This window comes from Homo sapiens, chromosome 1 (assembly GCF_000001405.40).
Source record: "Homo sapiens chromosome 1, GRCh38.p14 Primary Assembly".
NCBI lineage: Eukaryota > Metazoa > Chordata > Mammalia > Primates > Hominidae > Homo > Homo sapiens.
This window is the reverse complement of record NC_000001.11, coordinates 73,128,214-73,148,068: the sequence shown is the minus strand read 5'-3', so window position 1 is coordinate 73,148,068 and position 19,855 is coordinate 73,128,214. Positions and strand designations below refer to the sequence as shown.

The following is a 19,855-nucleotide window of genomic DNA, read 5'->3' as shown; positions in this document are numbered from 1 at the left end:
AATCAAAGTAACCGCTCTCTTGTGTTTGATTCTGAATTCTATCATTCATGCATTGCCCAGGGGCTGTTGTTTCTTTTTCTGTGACTGGCTTTATTTCTTCTTTTACTGTAGCAGATACCTTTTTAATTTTCATGATCTGTCACAAATTGTTAGTCTTCAGTTATGTACTTGATACCTAATATTTAAGAACCGTGTCACAATTATCTCATGAAGGGAATATTCAGTTATGTAGTAGAGCTGGCTTTCTGGATCTTGAGAATTGAGAACTTCCTAACATGTTTAGTGACATGCCAGTAGCTTGATAGAAGCCATAGTGAAAGTTTTTATACCATGAATATCAACAAAGGCTACAACACAGGTTTGTTTGCTGCCTGTTTGTTTCATTTTCCCAGAGAGCTGGATGTTTAATACATACCAACACATCGCTGAGATTATTTCTTCCTCCCACGTATTCTGCAATATGTGGAGGAGAAGGCAGAAAGAGTTTTTATCTACATGTGTAATACAAAGAACTAGGAATGGCAAAATTTTTCATAAGACTATGGGCCAAGAGTGAAGTCAGAAAAGTATGTCCAAATTATTTAAAGGGGCAAATAGAGCCATGGGAGATCCAGAAGGAATGGGGAAGAGGACCAGCGAATTTTTATGAATTCTTTCTAGTATGTGCTTGCCCTAGCCAGATAGAGCTTCTTAAAGAGATCCCATAGTAAGTAAAAGAAAAAAATACTGTTATTCAAAGAAGCAGGGTTTTGAAGAAATATCAGGTATTTTCATTCCATTTATTGGTTAACTTCTGCACTTAAAACAGATCCCATGCTGGATTTAGAAAATAGATTCTATGACCTTGTATTATAGATTTTATCTTCGTGTGATATAATCTGCTTACATATATACCCTACTAGACTGAGTTTTAAGGAGTGTCAAGATTGTGTTCTAGAGCAGTGGTCCCCAACCTTTTTGGCACTAGGGACAGGTTTTGTGGAAGACAATTTTTCCACAGACCAAGGGGCAGTAGGGATGGTTTCAGGATGATTCAAGAGCATTACATTTATTGTGCACTTCATTTCTATTATTATTAAATTGTAATATATAATAATAGAAATAAAGTGTACAATAAATGAGTTGTATAACTATTTCATTATTGTAATACAACTCACCATGATGTAGAATCAGTGAGAACTTTGAACTTGTTTTCCTGGAATTAGAAGTTCCCATCTGGGAGTGATGGGAGAGAGTGGCAGATCATCAGGCATTAGATTCTCATAAGAAGCAGGCAACCTAGATCCCTCCCATGTGCAGTTCACAATAGGGTTTGCTCTCCTATGAGAATCTAATCCTGCTGCTAATCTGACAGGAGGCAGAGCTCAGACAGTAATTCAAGTGATGAGGAGCAGCTGTAAATACAGAGGAAGCTTTACTTCCTCACTGCTACTCTCCTGCCGTGCAACCTGGTTCCCAACAGGCCATCGTCCAGTACCACATCAACCAGTACCACATCATCCAGTACCACATCATCCAGTACCAGTCTGTGGCATGGGGGTTTGGGGAGCCCTGTTCTAGAGAGCTGTCTATACCCTCTTCTTGGCATGGAATATTTAGCATAGAAAAAAACCTAGTAAATATGTTAAATTGACCTAAATTTAAAACTCTGATACAATTGTAGCATGTCAGAATGTATTTCCACTTACCTAGTTTGCTTCAAATATCCTGTAGGTATTGCTGGATGAAAACACACATACGTTTTAGAAAGATAAGTATTTTTCTGGAAGGCATGGGGATACAAGAGTCTTGTTTAAACATGATCCTGTGATCTCTGTTAGGAATATAACCTTGACCTCTAGTGACTCTGTTGATGGGACTTAGTTGGATTCAGATTATGAAATCCAGTTAAAAAATAAAAGGTAACTCTGCAGAGTAATGTGTATGTTCTTATGAAAAAAATCACAGAATTTTATACTAATAGGAACATCAGAGTTTCTACAAGGTTATTGCACAAAGAAATACAAACTGTCCATTATCAAATGATAAGAAATCTCATCTAAACTCCATAGGCTCAGGCCTACGCCTTTTAAAGAGTGCATAGTAAGAAATATTCTACACTCAACACATTTATCTTACATAACTTTTTATTATACAGTAAGCAAGTTTATGATGATCACAGAAGCACCTACAAATTTTTCCTAGATAAAAGCATGATTTTGTGAGAGAAAAGAAAAAATACAATTTTGTCCTCCTTTTATTTTAACCCATATAATTGTATTAAATTGCCTTTCATAAAGAAGACAAATATTCCCACTATGAATATATATATTTATGCCATAAGTCAGTATGTATTTCTATTATATAAAACCCCAAATTCATGGTCAAAGCTCATTTTAAGAAACAGAAGCAATTTGGACAGCATTTCAGATAGTAATCACATTGTCTTTAATGTTCATTGTCTTTTATCTTATAGAGAGTGTTGTTTGTATTTCAAAGCAAGCCACATTACCTAAATTTGAAGTGAATATATTTTGTTTACTTTTTTCAGAATATCACAAAATACAAACAATGAATTACACATCTCTCACACTGTAGAGGATACCAAAAGGTAGGGATACACTGAGGCCTTCAAGTCTTTCACTAAAGGACACAGACTCAAAAAAAAAAAAAATGAACCAAAGTAATTTGTATTTCTGTGTTCAAGAACTTTTTATCTAGGTAAAGGAATATAAGAGAGAAGGGAATTAAAAAAAAAATTGGAAGTGAACTGAAAAAAAGTCACCTTAAACACAAAGCCTAAAATTTCCTTTTTCTTATGAATATTTCAACAGGTAATATGTTAAAATGGGTCAGAAAGTAGCTTCAAGGACAAGTTCAAATTAAGCTAAGGTTTTTATCTCAAATTCAATTTCACTAATTATTTTAATAATTGAAGATGTTATCTAAAGCAAGTTGTAAATCAGCTAATTATTTGCTCTGTTTATGTTTTCTATCAAATTATACATTTCAATTGCTATAATAAATTTTTCCTTTAGGAACATACAGGTGTAATGTCTATATAAAACTAACCAGGAACAAAATCAATATCAGTATCAAATAAAACAGGTGTACATATAAACTAGTTAAATGAGGGAAACAAAAAAGACAGTTTATAGGGATTTTTATCACATATATACTTTGATGGTCTTAGGAAAATAAAAGTATGGAAAACTGACTTTACTTACTTAAATAATTGCTATATTTGGGTTTTCAGATTCATGACTATTTTTAGAGACCCTAGATTTGACTCTTCTCTTTGTTCTACATCTTTGGTCTTCTATCTTAAGTGTTTATCCACCTTTTCCTTTCTTTTTCCTATATACCATCATTTTTTTTTTTCCATCAAAAATGTCAAGCCCAGGTGACCTACCCACTGTTATCCAATGTTTTAACATTGTAGTCATGGCCACACTCATTAGAGATTAAACAAGGAAAACACTGGGAGAGTCAGTATCAGAGAGAGGCAGAGGGGCCAGGTCACCAGAAAAAGGGAAGTGGAAAGCATATTTATAGGTACAGTATTGTCAAAGGCATCAGAGAAAGTATGACAGAGGCTGGAACAAACACTGTAATGTACTGATAAGCACAAGCCCTTGACATCTGCTACTTCTATTTAAGTGTGAAACACAATGCATTTACATATTGATATCCTGGGAATAGAGAGACTAATTAAAGAACATTACCCTGACATTACAAAGTGAGGGAAAGAAAGACAGGGGATATAAAGTAGATTCATTTTATTTCACAGAGTTGGTGTTAAGACCTTTGAATCCTTCATTGCTGAGAAATATTAGAAATGGGCTCATGTTGGATAAGGGCCTTGTATCACTGAAACAAATTTTGTCTTTCAAAAAAATATCTTTGAGCACTTAATGTTTCTTAAATGTTAAGAAGCACACAGCACCTGCCCACCAAGATTTTTCAATCTTATGGAAGAGGACTGGCAGGTACATAGATAATTTTCATATAGCAAATTACAATACTGTCAGAACACAGAGCAGAGACAACTCATATAGTCTAAGTGGAGAGAGAGTGACTGCCAAAACATGGGAACCTTCATGGTAGTATTTTTATTATCAATTTAAATTCTCTAAGATAATTTCCTTCTGGATATTTTCTTCAAATAATCCCATACAAGAGATCCTCCCTGTCTCCAATGTGGAAGGGAAATCCCCTGAAGTTTAAACTCAGAAATGATAAGAAAAAACTAGACACATACCCAGATCTGATTAACTCAATCCAACAAGACAAAGAAAAAACAATTTAAAAAATGAACAAAACCTCAAGAAGAGTGGGATTCTGTTAAATGACCAAACCTAAGAACAACTGATATTTCTGAGGAAGAAGAGACATCTAAAAGTTTGAAAAACATATTTGAGGGAATAATTGAGGAAAACTCCCTTGACCTTGCTAGAGATCTAGACATCCAAATACAAGAAGCTCAAAGAACATGTGGGAAATTTATCACCAAAAGATCATCACCTAGGCACATAGTCATCAGGTTATCTAAAGTCAAGATGACGGAAATAAGAGCTGTGAGGCAGAAGCATCAGGTAACCTATAAAGGAAAACCTATCAGATTAACAGCAGATTTCTCAGCAGAAACCTTACAAGCTAGAAGCAATTTGGGCCCTATCTTTAGCTTCCTTAAACAAAACAATTATTAGCCAAGAATTGTCAGGCCTCTGAGCCAAAGCTAAGCCATCATAACCCTTGTGACCTGCACGTATATATCCAGATGGCCTGGAGCAACTGAAGAACCACAAAAGAAATGAAACAGCCAATTTCTGCCTTAACTGATGACATCCACCATCGTGATTTGTTTCTGCCCCACCGTAACTAATCAATTGACCTTGGGACATTGCTCCCCTGGACAATGAGTCTCATGATCTCCCCACCCTGCACCTTGTGACCCCCAACCCCACCTGTAAGAGATAACCACCTTTAACTGTAACTTTCCACTACCTAACCAAATCCTGTAAAACTGCCCCATCCCTATCACCCTTTGCTGACTCTCTTTTTGGACTCAGCCCACTTGCACCCAAGTGAAAACAAAGAGCCTTGTTACTCACTGAAAGCCTGCTTAGGTGGTCTCTTCACACAGATGCATGAAACGAGAATTTTGTATACAGTGACACTAAGCTTCGTGAATGAAGGAAAGATACAGTCTTTTCCAGACAAACAAATGCTGAGAGAATACACCACTACCAAGCCAGCACTACAAGAATTGCTAACAGGAGCTCTAAATCTTGAAACAAATCCTCAAAATACACCAAAATTTAAACTTCTTAAATCATAAATCTCACAGGATCTGTAAAACAAAAACACAATGAAAAAAAAAGAAACCACAAGGTATTCAGCAACAAATAGCATGATAAATAGAAGAGTACCTCACATCTCAATACTAATGTTGAATGTAAATGGCCTAAATACTTCGTTTAAAAGATACAGAATGGCAAAATGAATAAGAATTCACCAACCAAGTATCTGTTGTCTTCAAGAGACTCACCTGACACATACTCACATAAACTTAAGGTAAAGGGGTAGAAAACATTATTCCATGCAAATGAACACCTAAAGCAAGCAGAAGTAGCTATTCTTATATCAGACAAAAAAGCCTTTAAGCAGGAACAGTTAAAAAAGACAAAGAGGGACATTATATCATGATAAATGACTTGTCCAACAGGAAAATATCCTAAATATATATGCACCTAACACTGGAGATCTCAAATTTATAAAATAAAATAATTACTACTAAATCTTAGAAATGAGATAGACAGCAACACAATAATAGTGGGAGACTTTAATACTGCACTGACAGCACTAGACAGGTCATCAAGACAGAAAGTCAAAAAAGAAATAATGGATTTAAACTATACCTTAGAACAAATGGGCTTAACAGATATTTTACAGAACACTCTACCCAACAACTGCAGAATATACATTCTATTCATCAGCACATAGAATGTTCTCCAAGATAGACCATATGATAGGCCACAAAACAAGTCTCAATAAATTTAAGAAAATTGGAATTATATCAAGTACTCTCTCAGACCACAGTAGAATAATATTGGAAATCAACTCAAAGCTAAGGAAATTAAATAACCTGCTCCTGAATTATCTTCTGGTCAACAATGAAATCAAGATGGAAATTAAAAAATTATTTGAACTGAATGGTAATAGTGACACAACCTATCAAAATCTCTGGAATACAGCAAAGGCAGTACCAAGAGGAAAGTTCATAGCCTTAAATGTCTACATCAAAAAGTCTGAAAGAGCACAAATGGACAATCTAAGGTGATACCTCAAGGTACTAGAGAAACAAGAACAAACCAAACCCAAACCCAGCAGGAGAAATGAAATAACAAAAGATCAGACCAAACTAAGTGAAATTGGAACAAACAAACAAAAAAATACAAAAGATAAATGAAACAAAAAGCTGGTTCTTTGAAAAGATAAATCAAGTGGATAGACCATTAGTGAGATTAACCAAGAAAAGAAAAGATCCAAATAAGCTCAATTAGAAACACAATGGGAGATATTATAACCATACCACAGGAATTTAAAAAAATAATCATCCAAGGCTAATATGGACACCTTTATGCACATAAACTAGAAAACCTAGAGGAGATGGAGAAATTCCTGGAAATCTACAACCCTCCTAGATTAAACCAGGAAGGAATAGAAACTCTGAACAGACTAATAACAAGCAATGAGATTGAAATAATAATTTAAAAATTGCCAAAAAATATAAAAAGTCCAGAACCAGATGGATTCACAGCTGAATTCTTTCAGACATTCAAAGAAGAAATAGTACCACTGGATAGAGAAAGAGGGAATCCTCCCTAAATCATTCTATTAAACCAGTATCACCCTAACACCAAAACCAGGAAAGGATACAACAACAACAAAAAACTACAGACCAACATTCCTGATAAACATAGATGCAAAAATCCTTAACAAAATACTAGCTAACCAAATCCAACAACATATCAAAAAGATAATCCACCATGATCAAGTGGGTTTCATACCAGGGATTCAGGGATGATTTAACATATGCAAGTCAATAACTGTGATACACTACATAAACAGAATTAAAAACAAATCACAACAGTTTGATTTCCTCTTTACTGATTTGAATGCCATGTATTTATTTCTCTTGTCTGATGGCTCTGGTTAGAACTTCTAGTACTATGTTGAATAAAAATGGCGACAGTGGGCATCCTTGTCTTGTTCTTGTTCTGAGGGGGAGTGCTTTCAACTTTTCCCTGTTAAGTATAATGTTGGCTGTGGGTTTGTCCTAGATGGCTTTTATTACCTTAAGGTACGTCCCTTCTATGTCAATTTTGCTGAGGGTTTTAATCATAAAGGGATGCTGCATTTTGTCAATTTTTTTCTGTGTCTATCGAGTTTATCATGTGACAATAAACCCACAGCCAACACTATACTTAACAGGGAAAAGTTGAAAGCATTCCCCCTCAGAACAGGAACAAGACAAGGGATGCGCACATGTTGCCACTTCTATTCAACATAGTACTAGAAGTCCTAACCAGAACCATCAGACAAGAAAAAGAAATAAATGGCATTCAAATCAGTAAAGAGGAAGTCAAACTGTCACTGTTTGCTGATGATATAATCGCATACCTAGAAAACCCCAGAGACTCCTCTAAAAAGCTCCTAGAACTGATAAATTCAGCAGTTTCAGGATACAGAATTAATGTACACAAATTAGTAGCCCTGCTATACACAAACAGCAACCAAGGTGAGAATCAAATCAATAACTCAACCCCTTTTACAATAGGTGCAAAATTTGGGAATATACTCAACCAAGGAGGTGAAATACCTCTGCAAGGAAAACTACAAAACACTGCTGAAAGAAATCATAGCCAACACAAACAAATGGAAACATATCCCATGCACATGGGTCGGTAGAATTAATATTGTGAAAATGACCATATTGTCAAAAGCAATCTACAAATTCAATGCAATTCTCATCAAAATACCACCGTAATTCTTCAGAGACCTAGAAAAAACAATCTTAAAATTCATATAGAACCAAAAAAGAGTCCACATAGCCAAAGCAAGACTTAGCAAAAAGAACAAATCTGGAGGCATCATATTACTTGACTTCAAAGTGTACTATAAGGCCATCCATGGTACTAGTATAAACAGCATGGTACTGGTATAAAAATAGGCACATGGACCAATGGAACAGAATAGGGAACCAGAAATAAATCCAAATACTTACAGACAATTGATCCTTGACAGAGCAAACAAAAACGTAAAGTGGGGAAAAGACACCCTATTCAACAAATTATGCTGGGATAATTGACAAGCCACATGTAGAAGAATGAAACTGGATCCTCATCTCTCACCTCATACAAAAATCAACTCAAGATGAATCAAAGACAACTCTAAGGCCTGGAACCATAAAAATTCTAGAAGATAACTTTGGAAAAACTCTTCAAGACATTGGCTTAAGTGAAGACTTCATGACCAAGACCAAGAACCCAAAAGCAAATACAATAAAAACAAAAATAAATAGATGGGACTTAATTAAACTAAAAAACTTCTGCACAGTAGAAGAAACAATCAGCAGAGTAAACAGACAACCCATGCAGTGGAAGAAACTCTTTGCAATCTAAACATTTGACAAAGGACTAATGTTTAGAATCTATAAGGAACTCCAACAAATCAGCAAAACAAAAACAATCCCATCAAAAATTGGGCTAAGGACATGAATAAACAATTCTCAAAAGAAGATATACAAATGGCCAACAAACATATGAAAAAATGTTCAACATCGCTAATAACCAGGGAAATGCAAATCAAAACCACAATGTGATAGCACCTCACTCCTGCAAGAATGGCTATAAAAAAAAAATAGATGTTGGTGTACATGTGGTGAAAAGGGAACACTTTTACACTGCTGATGGGAATGTAAACCAGTACAACCCTATTGAAAACAGTGTGGAGATTTTGTAAAGTACTAAAAATAGAGCTACCATTTGATCCAGCAATTCCACTGCTAGGTATCTACCCAGAAGGAAAGAAGTCATTATATAAAAAAGATACTTGGACATGCATGTTTATAGCAGCACAATTCTCCATTGCCAAAATATGGAACCCGCCCAAATGCCCATCAATCTATGAGTGAGTAAAGAAATTTTATATATATATATACCAATATAATATATATTATATTATAGAATTATATGTGTGTTTGTACATATATATACACATATATGTATATGTATATATATATATTCCATGTATATATATGTGTGTGTATATATGTATATACATGGAATACACACACACACACACACACACACACACACGTGGAATAAGGTAATGGCAACCTGGGTGGAATCGGAGACCATTCTTCTAAGTGAAGTAACTCTGAATGGAAAACCAAACATTATATGTTCTCACTCATAAGTGGGAGCTCAGCTGTGAGAATGCAAAGACATAAAAGTGGACTTTGGGGACTTGGGGAAAGTGGGAGAGGGGGGTGAAGGATAAAAGACAACACATGGGGTATAGTGTACTTTGCTCAGATAATGGGTACAACAAAATCTCAGAAATCACCACTAAAGAACTTATTTATGTAATCAAACATCACCTGTTCCCCAAAAGCCTATTGAAATAAAAAATTAAATAATATGATTAACTGATAGACACCCCTGGGTTTGAAACCACATTACCTAAATTTGAAAGGAATATATTTTGTTTCCTTTTTTCAGAATATCACAAAATACAAACAATGAATTACACATCTCACATTGTAGAGGAGACCAAAAGGTAGAGATACACTGAGGTATCATGTAATGACCTTGAAAGTTAAATCTCTGAACCTCACTTTGTCTCACTTTTCTTCCCCTGAAAATGGGAATGATAGTGCCTACAATACTGGATTGGTAAGATAGTAGAAAGGCAATAAATATAATAAATAGTTTTATTCCATGGCACATAGTGGAAATTCAGTTCATTGAAGTATTTCTGAAGTATACTAAATATATTGAAGTATTTGGATTATTATCCAAATGATAAGTTTATTATATAATATTCAGTACACAAGTATTCCTGAATAAGTTTATTATAAAAATGATTAGGAAATCATAATTCTATAGCTCAGAGTTGATTGACACCACATGAGGCACTGAGCTCAGAAGAGTCCCTTGAGTGTTGCCCCCTTAATTAAAGGAGGACCTCAGTGTCATCCTCAAATTTGTCTGAGGATTCAGTGGCATTTGAAAAGGGTAATTGTGTTTTACTAGCTGAACTTCAATTTTAGTTACTATAATTTTACCGAGAGCACAGAAATACAAAGCCGTCTTTATAAAAGCTACTGAACCTTCAGGCACAAACAATACCTCATCTGGAGAAAATCACCTGCACCTTCTCTCCACAGATATGACCAGATAGGCTATCTTCCCCTTCAGTTAACTAGCTTTAGGTTCTTCCAGAAGCATGTCCCACCAAAAGGGAATGCCTTCCTTTTGTTAATGGAATTTAAAATAATATCAGATCCTAAGAGGGTGGGAAAAACGGCACCATGCCCTTTCCAGATTTCCTTTATCTTGAGAGTAGTAGATATTTTGCCTATAGCGACAAAATCACTTAGTATAATATTATATTAAGGTTAAATTGTTAATTGCTTTTTTCTTATTAGAAAATGGTACTTGCTTTGGGATAGGAACTATAAAATAAAATCAAGACATATTTTTATTAGGAAGTGTGATTTAGATGTTTTCTTGTTAATGCATTCAAGTGTTCTCACTGTGTCAGCAGAGCTTAGAAATAAATCTTCTTTATGTCCTATATTTTCTGTGGAACCTCACTTAATTCAACATAGCTGTATTATATGCTAGGCATTGAACTCTTAGTGGTAATTATCCAACTTGATAACTTTGCACTAGATCAGTGGTGGGCTAGTTAATACATTGTAAAATACATTGCACTAGATCAGGTGGTGGGCTAGTTAATACATTGTAAAACATAAATGGTTTCTGTCCTAGGCTCAAACCTGCTAGAAGACAGAGAACCTGGAATTATTCAAAATCTGCATGAGACAAGGCAACCATAAGTTTCCAGAGCTAAGTTGAACACAACAAATAATTTTAGTTGGGAAAAAACACAAATTTTTATTATTAATCATAGCATTGGCCCCCAACCCAAAGGCAGACAACTTTGGTAGCTAGGTATACCATTATTTCTAAATGTTACTTAATAAAGTCTAAATAACATTAGGTCTTGTAAATGTCAGGGCCTACCTTTGTCCCCACACTACCACCTGTCTGAGTGGTAGTCTTGCAAACCCACACAAACACATACACCCCATTATCAGAGAGAGAGAAAACATGGTTCACTTGTCACCGACTTCACAGTTTGCAGCTGTAGCTGCAGTGATCCCAAGTACAACTGAGAGAAAGAACAAAACAGCCACAGGGAGAATTTTAGCCCTTCCTACACTGACATAGTAAAAGCAAGAGCCCTTTGTGATATTTTAATGTAGTGATGGCACCTACTAGCTATTGGTCCAAATGATGCTATGAAATTAGATTGATAACATTTTTCCTTTGTGGTTACAGCAATTTGCTGTTGTTGCCTAAATAAATTACCTCAAATTTCATGGCATAAACAGCATAAATTTATAATCTTACAATTTCTACAGGATCTAGAGAATAATCCATTTTCTGCACATTTGAGTTGTGGCAAGATTGAGTTCCTGGCAGTTGTAGGCCTGAGATTTTTGTGTCCTTGCTGGCTGTCAACCAAGGGCCACTCCCAGCTTTAAGAGGCCACACACATTCCTTGTCTCATGATGGCTTCCTCCATCTTTGATTATACTTAGTACAGATCTAGCACCTTTCACATTAAATCTCTCCTCCTCCTTCTGTCTCATATCTCTGAACCAGCAGGAAAGGTGCTCTACTTTTAAAAACACATGTAATTCAATTGGGTCTACCTGGATAATACGGGATCGCTATTTTAAGGCCAAATGATTAGCAACTTCAATTCCATCTGCAAACTGAATTTTCCTTTACCATGTAAAATAACATGTTCACAGTTTCTAGGATTAGGATATGAGCATTATTGGAGGGACATTATACTTCTTACTATAGGAGTGAAGATGAGGATATATGAGGTTGGGCATGGGGATTGAGAAAGAAGAAAATAAACATAGAGAGGGACCTTTAATTATTTGCCTGGATTCCTTCTATGCCAGGTGCTAGTTTTTCAAATGTATGAAAGTTGCTTAAATTTCTTAGCCCCATTTTCTGTTCTTCATATCAAAATACTTAATATCTATCATAACAAAGGCTTTTGGGGATCAGTCAGGTGTGGGGGTCAAAGGTATCAAGAGAAGAGTTCATCTGTGGTTGACTGAGAGAGAATTTCTCACCCAAAATAATTTAGATTCCAAAATTTTAAAACATTCTTCTCAACAAATGAAGAATATCTTTGAGACACATGAACTAAAGCTATCATTTGGAGATATTTTACGCCCCTCATAAGATTGCTATGAGGCCTAAGTGAAATAAATTTATGTAAGATGAAAACATATGATAGGCACTCCACAGATTTTAGTTTGCTTCTTTCCTAAATGTTCTGCCCCAACAATATTTACTAGGTTTTGGAATGTGCAAATTAAAAGAGAAAAAGTAAAAAGATCATTTTATTCATTTTTTCATAAATTATTATTCATATCATGCTATTCTCTTACCACCTGGGTTCATTTTTACTTGATTCTAAACCTATCCATCCAAATATTTGGACTTTAAAATCCCTCTACTCTCTCATAAGACCCATCAATCACATTCAATCACATCTATATTCATCCATAAAACATAAACATGAAAAAATGGCCAGTATTCAAAATAGCCTTTTATAGAAATCATTTTATTATTCCTTTTGTGAGCTAGTTTTCGAATGTCTTTCTAATCCTCTTTTCTTATTAGTATCACTGTAGTTGCTAATGCCATATCATTTTGACAACATTGCTTATTCATTTCATCCTTATTTTCTAATGATTTATAAAAGGATTTGAAATTCTGGATAGGCATGTCTAATAAGCACTATTTTTCTCATGTAGCTTTATGAGCTAAAGCCTCCATAAAATCTTTCAGATGTTAAGGAGCATTGCTATATATGTTATTAACAGCACATTTAGATATTCTTAGAAGTATATTACATCCAGAATCTACAAGGAACTCAAACAAATCAGCAAAAACAAAACAAACAATCCCATCAAAAAGTGGACTAAGGACATGTATAGACAATTCTCAAAAGAAGATATACAAATGACCAACAAACATGAAAAAATGCTCAACATCACTATTGATCAGGGAAATTCAAATCAAAACCACAATGTGATACCACCTCACTCCTGCAAGAATGGCCATAATAAAGAAAAAAATTAAAAAATAATATATGTTGGCAGGGATGTGGTGGAAAAGGAACAATTTTACACTGTTGGTGGGAATGTAAACTAGTATAACTACTATAGAAAGCAGTAGGGAGTTTCCTTAAAGAACCAAAAGTATAACTACCATTTGATCCAGCAATTCTACTGGAAAAGAAGTCATTATATGACAAAGATACTTACACATGTATGTTTATAGCAGCACAATTCATAATTACAAAAATATGGAATCCAGCCCAAATGCCCATCAATCTATGAGTGGGTAAAGAAATTATATATATATAACCATGGAATACTATATACTATTCAGGCATAAAAAGGATCAAAATAATGGCCGTCAAAGCAACCTGGATGGAATTGGAGACCATTATTCTAAGTGAAGTAACTCCGGAATGGAAAACCAGTTCTTACTCACAAGTTGGAGCTAAGCTATGAGGATGCAAAGACATGAGAATGATACAATGGACTTTGGGGATTTGGGAGAAAGGATTGGGGGGTGAAGAATAAAAGACTACACATTGGGTACAGTGTACACTGCTCAGGTGATGGGTACACCAAAATCTCAGAAATCACCACTAAAAATCTTCATATGTAAGTTGGGATGAATGACACATAGGCACTAATGGATATAAAAATGAATAAAGTTTATTATTCACACAATAAACATCTAAATAATTACTGAGGAGAAGGGCTGAAGTTTGGTCTGGAGTGAAACAAGAAGATCAAGGGAGAAGGATGATTCTGATTTTAATTGTAGTTAGGAGGTGTGGCTAGGGGGAATGTTCACTCGTAGGCCGGGATATGTGTGCTTTTAACTTCCACCAGCACCGAGGGGGGAAGTCTGCAGCTTTCTTACCAGCTTATCCAGTTGTTAAGTAAAAGGGAAAGGGGAAGCGTGGATCTTGCAAATAGTTAAAGATCAAACATCAAAACTGGAGTCTTTGTCTTTATCATAGTACATAAGTCTAATTCTGAGGGTTTTTTAAAAATAAGGTTAATGATCTCATTGATAGACACTTTGACAGAAACAAGGAAAAAATATTTCAGCAACCCATCTAAACAGTGTTCATCTACACTTTAATGCTGCATTTTACCCAACATGCTAATGAAGCTGTGGACCATAATATCAAGGCATTTGTCCATACTTTTGTTTCCAAGAAGCAAATACTACTGTTTGTTAAATGTTACGTAACAGAAGTATTGGTGCTACAATAAGAGTTAGAGAGGGTACACTACACTCTGAAAAAGAATCTGCTAAAACAAGACAAACAGCATCTATATTACAAATCAGATTTCCTTTTATGCTGTGCGGTATTCACATTTGATTTTATAATTCAAATTTAGGAACACATTTTTAACCTTTGTTTCCACACCTGAGAGGTTTGCTAATGTGTAATTCCACTGAGAAAATACACACTGATTCTATGTGCTCTTAAAGTGTCATTAACATACAGTATACACAACCTGTTCAACTCCTCTCTGAACTGTACTATAAATAAATGCAGAGCAGTTATTGTAATTATAGAGTAAATATAACAAATTGACATAATTATAATTAAATCCAGGAAAAGTGGTGAGCACTTTGAAATGTACAAAATTAATTCAAGACCCTTATTTGTGGTTAAAATTTCTCTCTCCTTGGAGAAGCAAAATATTAACTGATAACTTAGAGGTATAAAAATCAAAGGCTACAAAGCTACTTTCCTGTATAGGGCAAGAAAAATGAACTCTAAGCCAAACTTGAGCTCTGTAAGTGTTCACCCAGTTTACATGAAAATGAACTTAAAATGCCTCTTTCATGCCTACTTCAAGAGATTTGAAAGAAATGTTCAGATAAAACAAGCAAGGATGAAAACATGCATTCACATACAATTTTGCCGCATTAATGAGTTTCTAGTGAAATTATGATTGGGCCTAGGTTATCCAGAAAATTGTCTCAATTCTCTAACTCACTTTGCAAATTAAGAAAGACATATATGACCTTGTTTTTCCAATTTTTTTTCCCAAATAGTCTTGCCTAAAAGTTTTCTTGTAATTAATGTAGGGAAAAAAAAAAAAACTACCTCACTCTGACATTTTCCTTCTCTTCTTAGAGACTGCTTTTTTCACACCCAACTTTTCTTTGCTTTGATGTTACAGGAGTGAGAAACTTGTAAAAGAAATCCTTGGTGAGCATTTGCTATCTATTTTGCAGTTGCACACAGGACCTTCTTTCAACTATGTTCATTAGTATGAAGAAGATGAGTACTGACCACTCATCCTTGCAAAAGAATGTACTTTAAGATTAATATAAAGAATGTATCATGAATAGCACCTGCAAATTGTCTATTATTACAAAATTCTGTTCAGTAAATGAATGTCAGTGATTAAAAAATATCTTGTGCAAATAGTTTCAAATGTAGATTTTTAAAACAAAGAATAGAAAAGGAAGAAATGAGCAAACAAAGGAAAGAAGATGATGGCAAAAAAAGTTAATAATGAGGAGAGACGTATGTAGATATGGAGTAACTTAAATGTGTATTTCCAATAGATAACAATAAGAATTGAACATAGATAAATGACAACTACAATGAGTTTCATTGCACAATTTTTATGCATCATTAAATATGAAGAATAAAAGATGAGTACAAAGTCTAAAGACAAATCTGAGTCTATCAAGAATGACAGATGAGGAATAGGGGCACAGAGGACAAATTTCACTGCATTGGCAAGGTCTGATATTGTGAAGTGATTGGACTTCATATGACATGGAGAATTAAGAGAATTAAAATAAATTTGGAAAAGTGTTCAAAGAAACATTATCGGCCATTTCATTATGGTGAAGATGTTTCTTGTATTTTTATTCATTATTCAATCAAAATAAACTGTTAATAAGGTCAATAGCACAAAAATGAATGATGTAAAACAGGAATAAAAATATTCATCTATATACTCCTCATATTCTCTTTCTTAATTGATGTACTTACTCTGATGTGAGAGACACTACAGATATAAGCAACAACAGCAACAACAACATTTGAATGGAAGAAATCTCCTGAGCCTTGACTTCAGGGAATTTTCACTAGCTCAAATTGTTAAACTGTAGACTTCCCATCTGTTAGTGTCTCTGTAGGTGATTTCTCAGAAGTATCAGAAGATCCTCAACATTCAGAGTATACTCATAGCGTTAATATTTGAAGCCAATTTGGCAGCTCAGAGACCAAAGTTATTTCTGACAATGTACTGCTACAATATCACTTGGTTTCTTCCTTGGCCTCAGAGTCTATTGTTGTCTTGTTATGCACAAGTCGAAATAAAGGGTCGTTCCATAATTTTTTAAGTTTACTTTCCATTTAAAAAGTAAAGTTTTTCAGTAGGCCCATAACCCTGAATTGTCATGATTACCTAAAGACTTTATATTTAAGGTACACACCTGTGGAGCAATTTTTTTTAAAAAACATATTGGTTTGTAATATGCTATCATAGCAAATCCCAGTGTAGACATCTCTGACATAGCAAGTTTAACTGGACAGGGTTGGCTGAGAATATCCTTTTAAGGGCCATTATGTGTGTTTATAGTAATGCTGTCTCATATTGCCAACACTGTTTTATCTACATTTCAGGGCCAGAGAGTTGTATTCTGCAAACTCTTCATATCAGAGAGTCATGAGAATTTGTAAAATGTATGAGAATGCTATATATTATTCCAAGAAAGAACTTACACATACCGTAAGTATGAGGGCAGATGAAAAGGTATCTGAGATAAGCCTTTATTTTATTCCTTAAAGGTGTGGAAAAACTCAGGCACAATATTTAAGATACTACAATTAACCTTCAATTTTGATATAGAGTCTAGTGCCTTTATTGGCTGAGAATGGTGCTGATTTAACTAAGTAATCTATTAACTCCTAGAGAACTGAAAGAAGTGAAGAACTATGAGCATAGAAGGTAAGAAAATAGATTAGGAAAGAAGGTAAAGGAGAGAATGAAGAGAGTAAAAAAGAAGAAAACAAACAAATTAAAAGTACCTACTTTAAAGAGTACTTTAGCAATTCAATCAAGTTTTTGATACATTCTTACAATAACCGTAGGAAGTCAGAATTATTATGATGTTTTACTACAGTTGAAAAATTAGATTTAGAGAGGCTAAATGTTTTACTTTTCTCCTAGTGACATAAATTATGAACTGTAGAAAAGAGCCCAACTCTTAGATTTTTCTCCCCAAACACACGGGCTGGTCCACTTTACCCAATGGTAGATCACAAAATCCCATGATGGGTAACAGTGAAGAACCAGTGACTGCCTCAGGTTTCCATTTGGGGTCCTCATGAAGCAGAATGTCTCTTCATCTTTTGGGAGATCAACAACTCATGTTGTGGGGAAAAGAAAGAGAGATCAGATTGTTACTATGTCTGTGTAGAAAGAAGTAGACATAGGAGACTCCATTTTGTTCTGTACTAAGACAAATTCTTCTGCCTTGAGATGCTGTTAATCTATAACCTTACCCCCAACCCCGTGCTCTCTGAAACACGTGCTGTGTCAACTCAGGGTTAAATGGATTAAGGGCTGTGCAAGATGTGCTTTGTTAAACAGATGCTTGAAGGCAGCATGCTCCTTAAGAGTCATCACCACTCCCTAATCTCAAGTACCCAGAGACACAATACACTGTGGAAGGCCACAAGGACCTCTGCCTAGGAAAGCCAGGTATTGTCCAAGGTTTCTCCCCATGTGATAGTCTGAAATATGGCCTCGTGGGAAGGGGAAGACCTGACCGTCCCCCAGCCCGACACCCGTAAAGGGTCTGTGCTGAGGAGGATTAGTATAAGAGGAAGGCATGCCTCTTTGCAGTTGAGACAAGAGGAAGGCATCTGTCTCCTGCCCATCCCTGGGCAATGGAATGTCCAGTATAAAACTCGATTGTATGTTCCATCTACTGAGATAGGGGAAAACCGCCTTAGGGCTGGAGGTGGGACATGCGGGCAACAATACTGCTCTGTAAGGCATTGAGATGTTTATGTGTATGCATATCTAAAGCACAGCACTTGATTCTTTACCTTGTCTATGATGCAGAGACCTTTGTTCAGGTGTCTATCTGCTGACCTTCTCTCCACTATTATCCTATGACCCTGCCACATCCCCCTCTCTGAGAAACACCCAAAAATGATCAATAAATACTAAGGGAACTCAGAGGCTGGCGGGATCCTCAATATGCTGAACGCTGGTTCCCTGGGTCCCCTTATTTCTTTCTCTATACTTTGTCTCTGTGTCTTTTTCTTTTCCAAGTCTCTGGTTCCACCCAACGAGAAACACCCACAGGTGTGGAGGGGCAACCCACCCCTTCACATGTAACCAACCAGAGAAGTAATAAAAGAGAAAAATATATGTTACAGAAGTTTCTGTGTAGCATTCAGCATACTTACCATTTTCTATCATCAATTATCTTACAGTAAGTTTTTACTCTGTTTTGAGTTTAAAACTAAAGTTTTGTGTTATATAAGTGGTTAATAGCTAATACATATGACTCATTAAATAACATAAAATGAACTGGAACCTCAAGCTGTGTGGCTGATCCTTTCCACTTGAAAACTTTTCATATTCAAAAGAAAAAAATCTCAATTTTGGCAATTTTATCTATTATTCTTAATGTTAAAGTTGCTTAAAATAATTTTCAAAGACCAAAAATATTATGATAAAAACATTTTATTGAAATTATTTATATTCCTTACCTCTTTCTTTTAATTTTGAATGCAACCTATTAGAAAAAAATGTAAACTTGCCAGGTGCGGTGGCTCACGCCTGTAATCCCAGCACTTTGGAAGCCAAGACGGGCGGATCACGAGGTCAGGAAATCGAGACCATCCTGGCTAACATGGTGAAACCCTGTCTCTACTAAAAATACAAAAAATTAGCCCGGTGGGGTGGCGGGCACCTGTAGTCCCAGCTACTCGGGAGGCTGAGGCAGGAGAATGGCGTGAACCCGGGAGGTGGAGCTTGCAGCAGTGAGCGGAGATCGCACCACTGCACTCCAGCCTGGGGGACAGAGCAAGACTCTGTCTCAAAAAAAAAAAAAATAAAGTAAGCTTGTCCCTATAAACCACATAACCTACTTAATTGCCCTTATACTCCTAGACTTAGATCATATCATTTAACCTGCAGGTAATTGGAAAAGTGATGATTTGAAAGAAATAATCAAGAAAGGATCTCAGAGTCAGGTTTCATGTTGTAGAAGAAGGCAACGGTGAATGATTTTTCTACATCATGCTGCTCTCTTCCTAGATCCATAGGAAGATAAATTATCCCTCCCAGTACAGAGGCAGAATAAAAGTAAAAACAAAAAGTGAGTTGTGAAATCATCATCTGAGGATACAGAAGGTTAGAGTAGTAAACCAAAACAAACTGCAAGACCTATCAAACATTCAGTTATGG

At 35.4% G+C, this 19,855-nt stretch overlaps 1 pseudogene, besides 1 other annotated feature; it reads left to right on the top strand.

Moving 5' to 3' along the window:
• LOC105378800 (endogenous retrovirus group K member 21 Gag polyprotein-like) overlaps positions 1 to 18,921 on the top strand; it is a 213,368-nt pseudogene extending 194,447 nt beyond the window's left edge.
• Positions 10,006 to 10,169: a silencer, noted in NCBI's record as "fragment chr1:73603583-73603746 (GRCh37/hg19 assembly coordinates)". NCBI's record gives its function as "represses an EF-1alpha promoter that drives an FKBP-Casp9 reporter gene in an ReSE screen in K562 erythroleukemia cells {active_cell/tissue: K562}" and the evidence as "EXISTENCE:reporter gene assay evidence [ECO:0000049][PMID:32094911]".
• Positions 18,922 to 19,855: the final 934 nt, after the last annotated feature.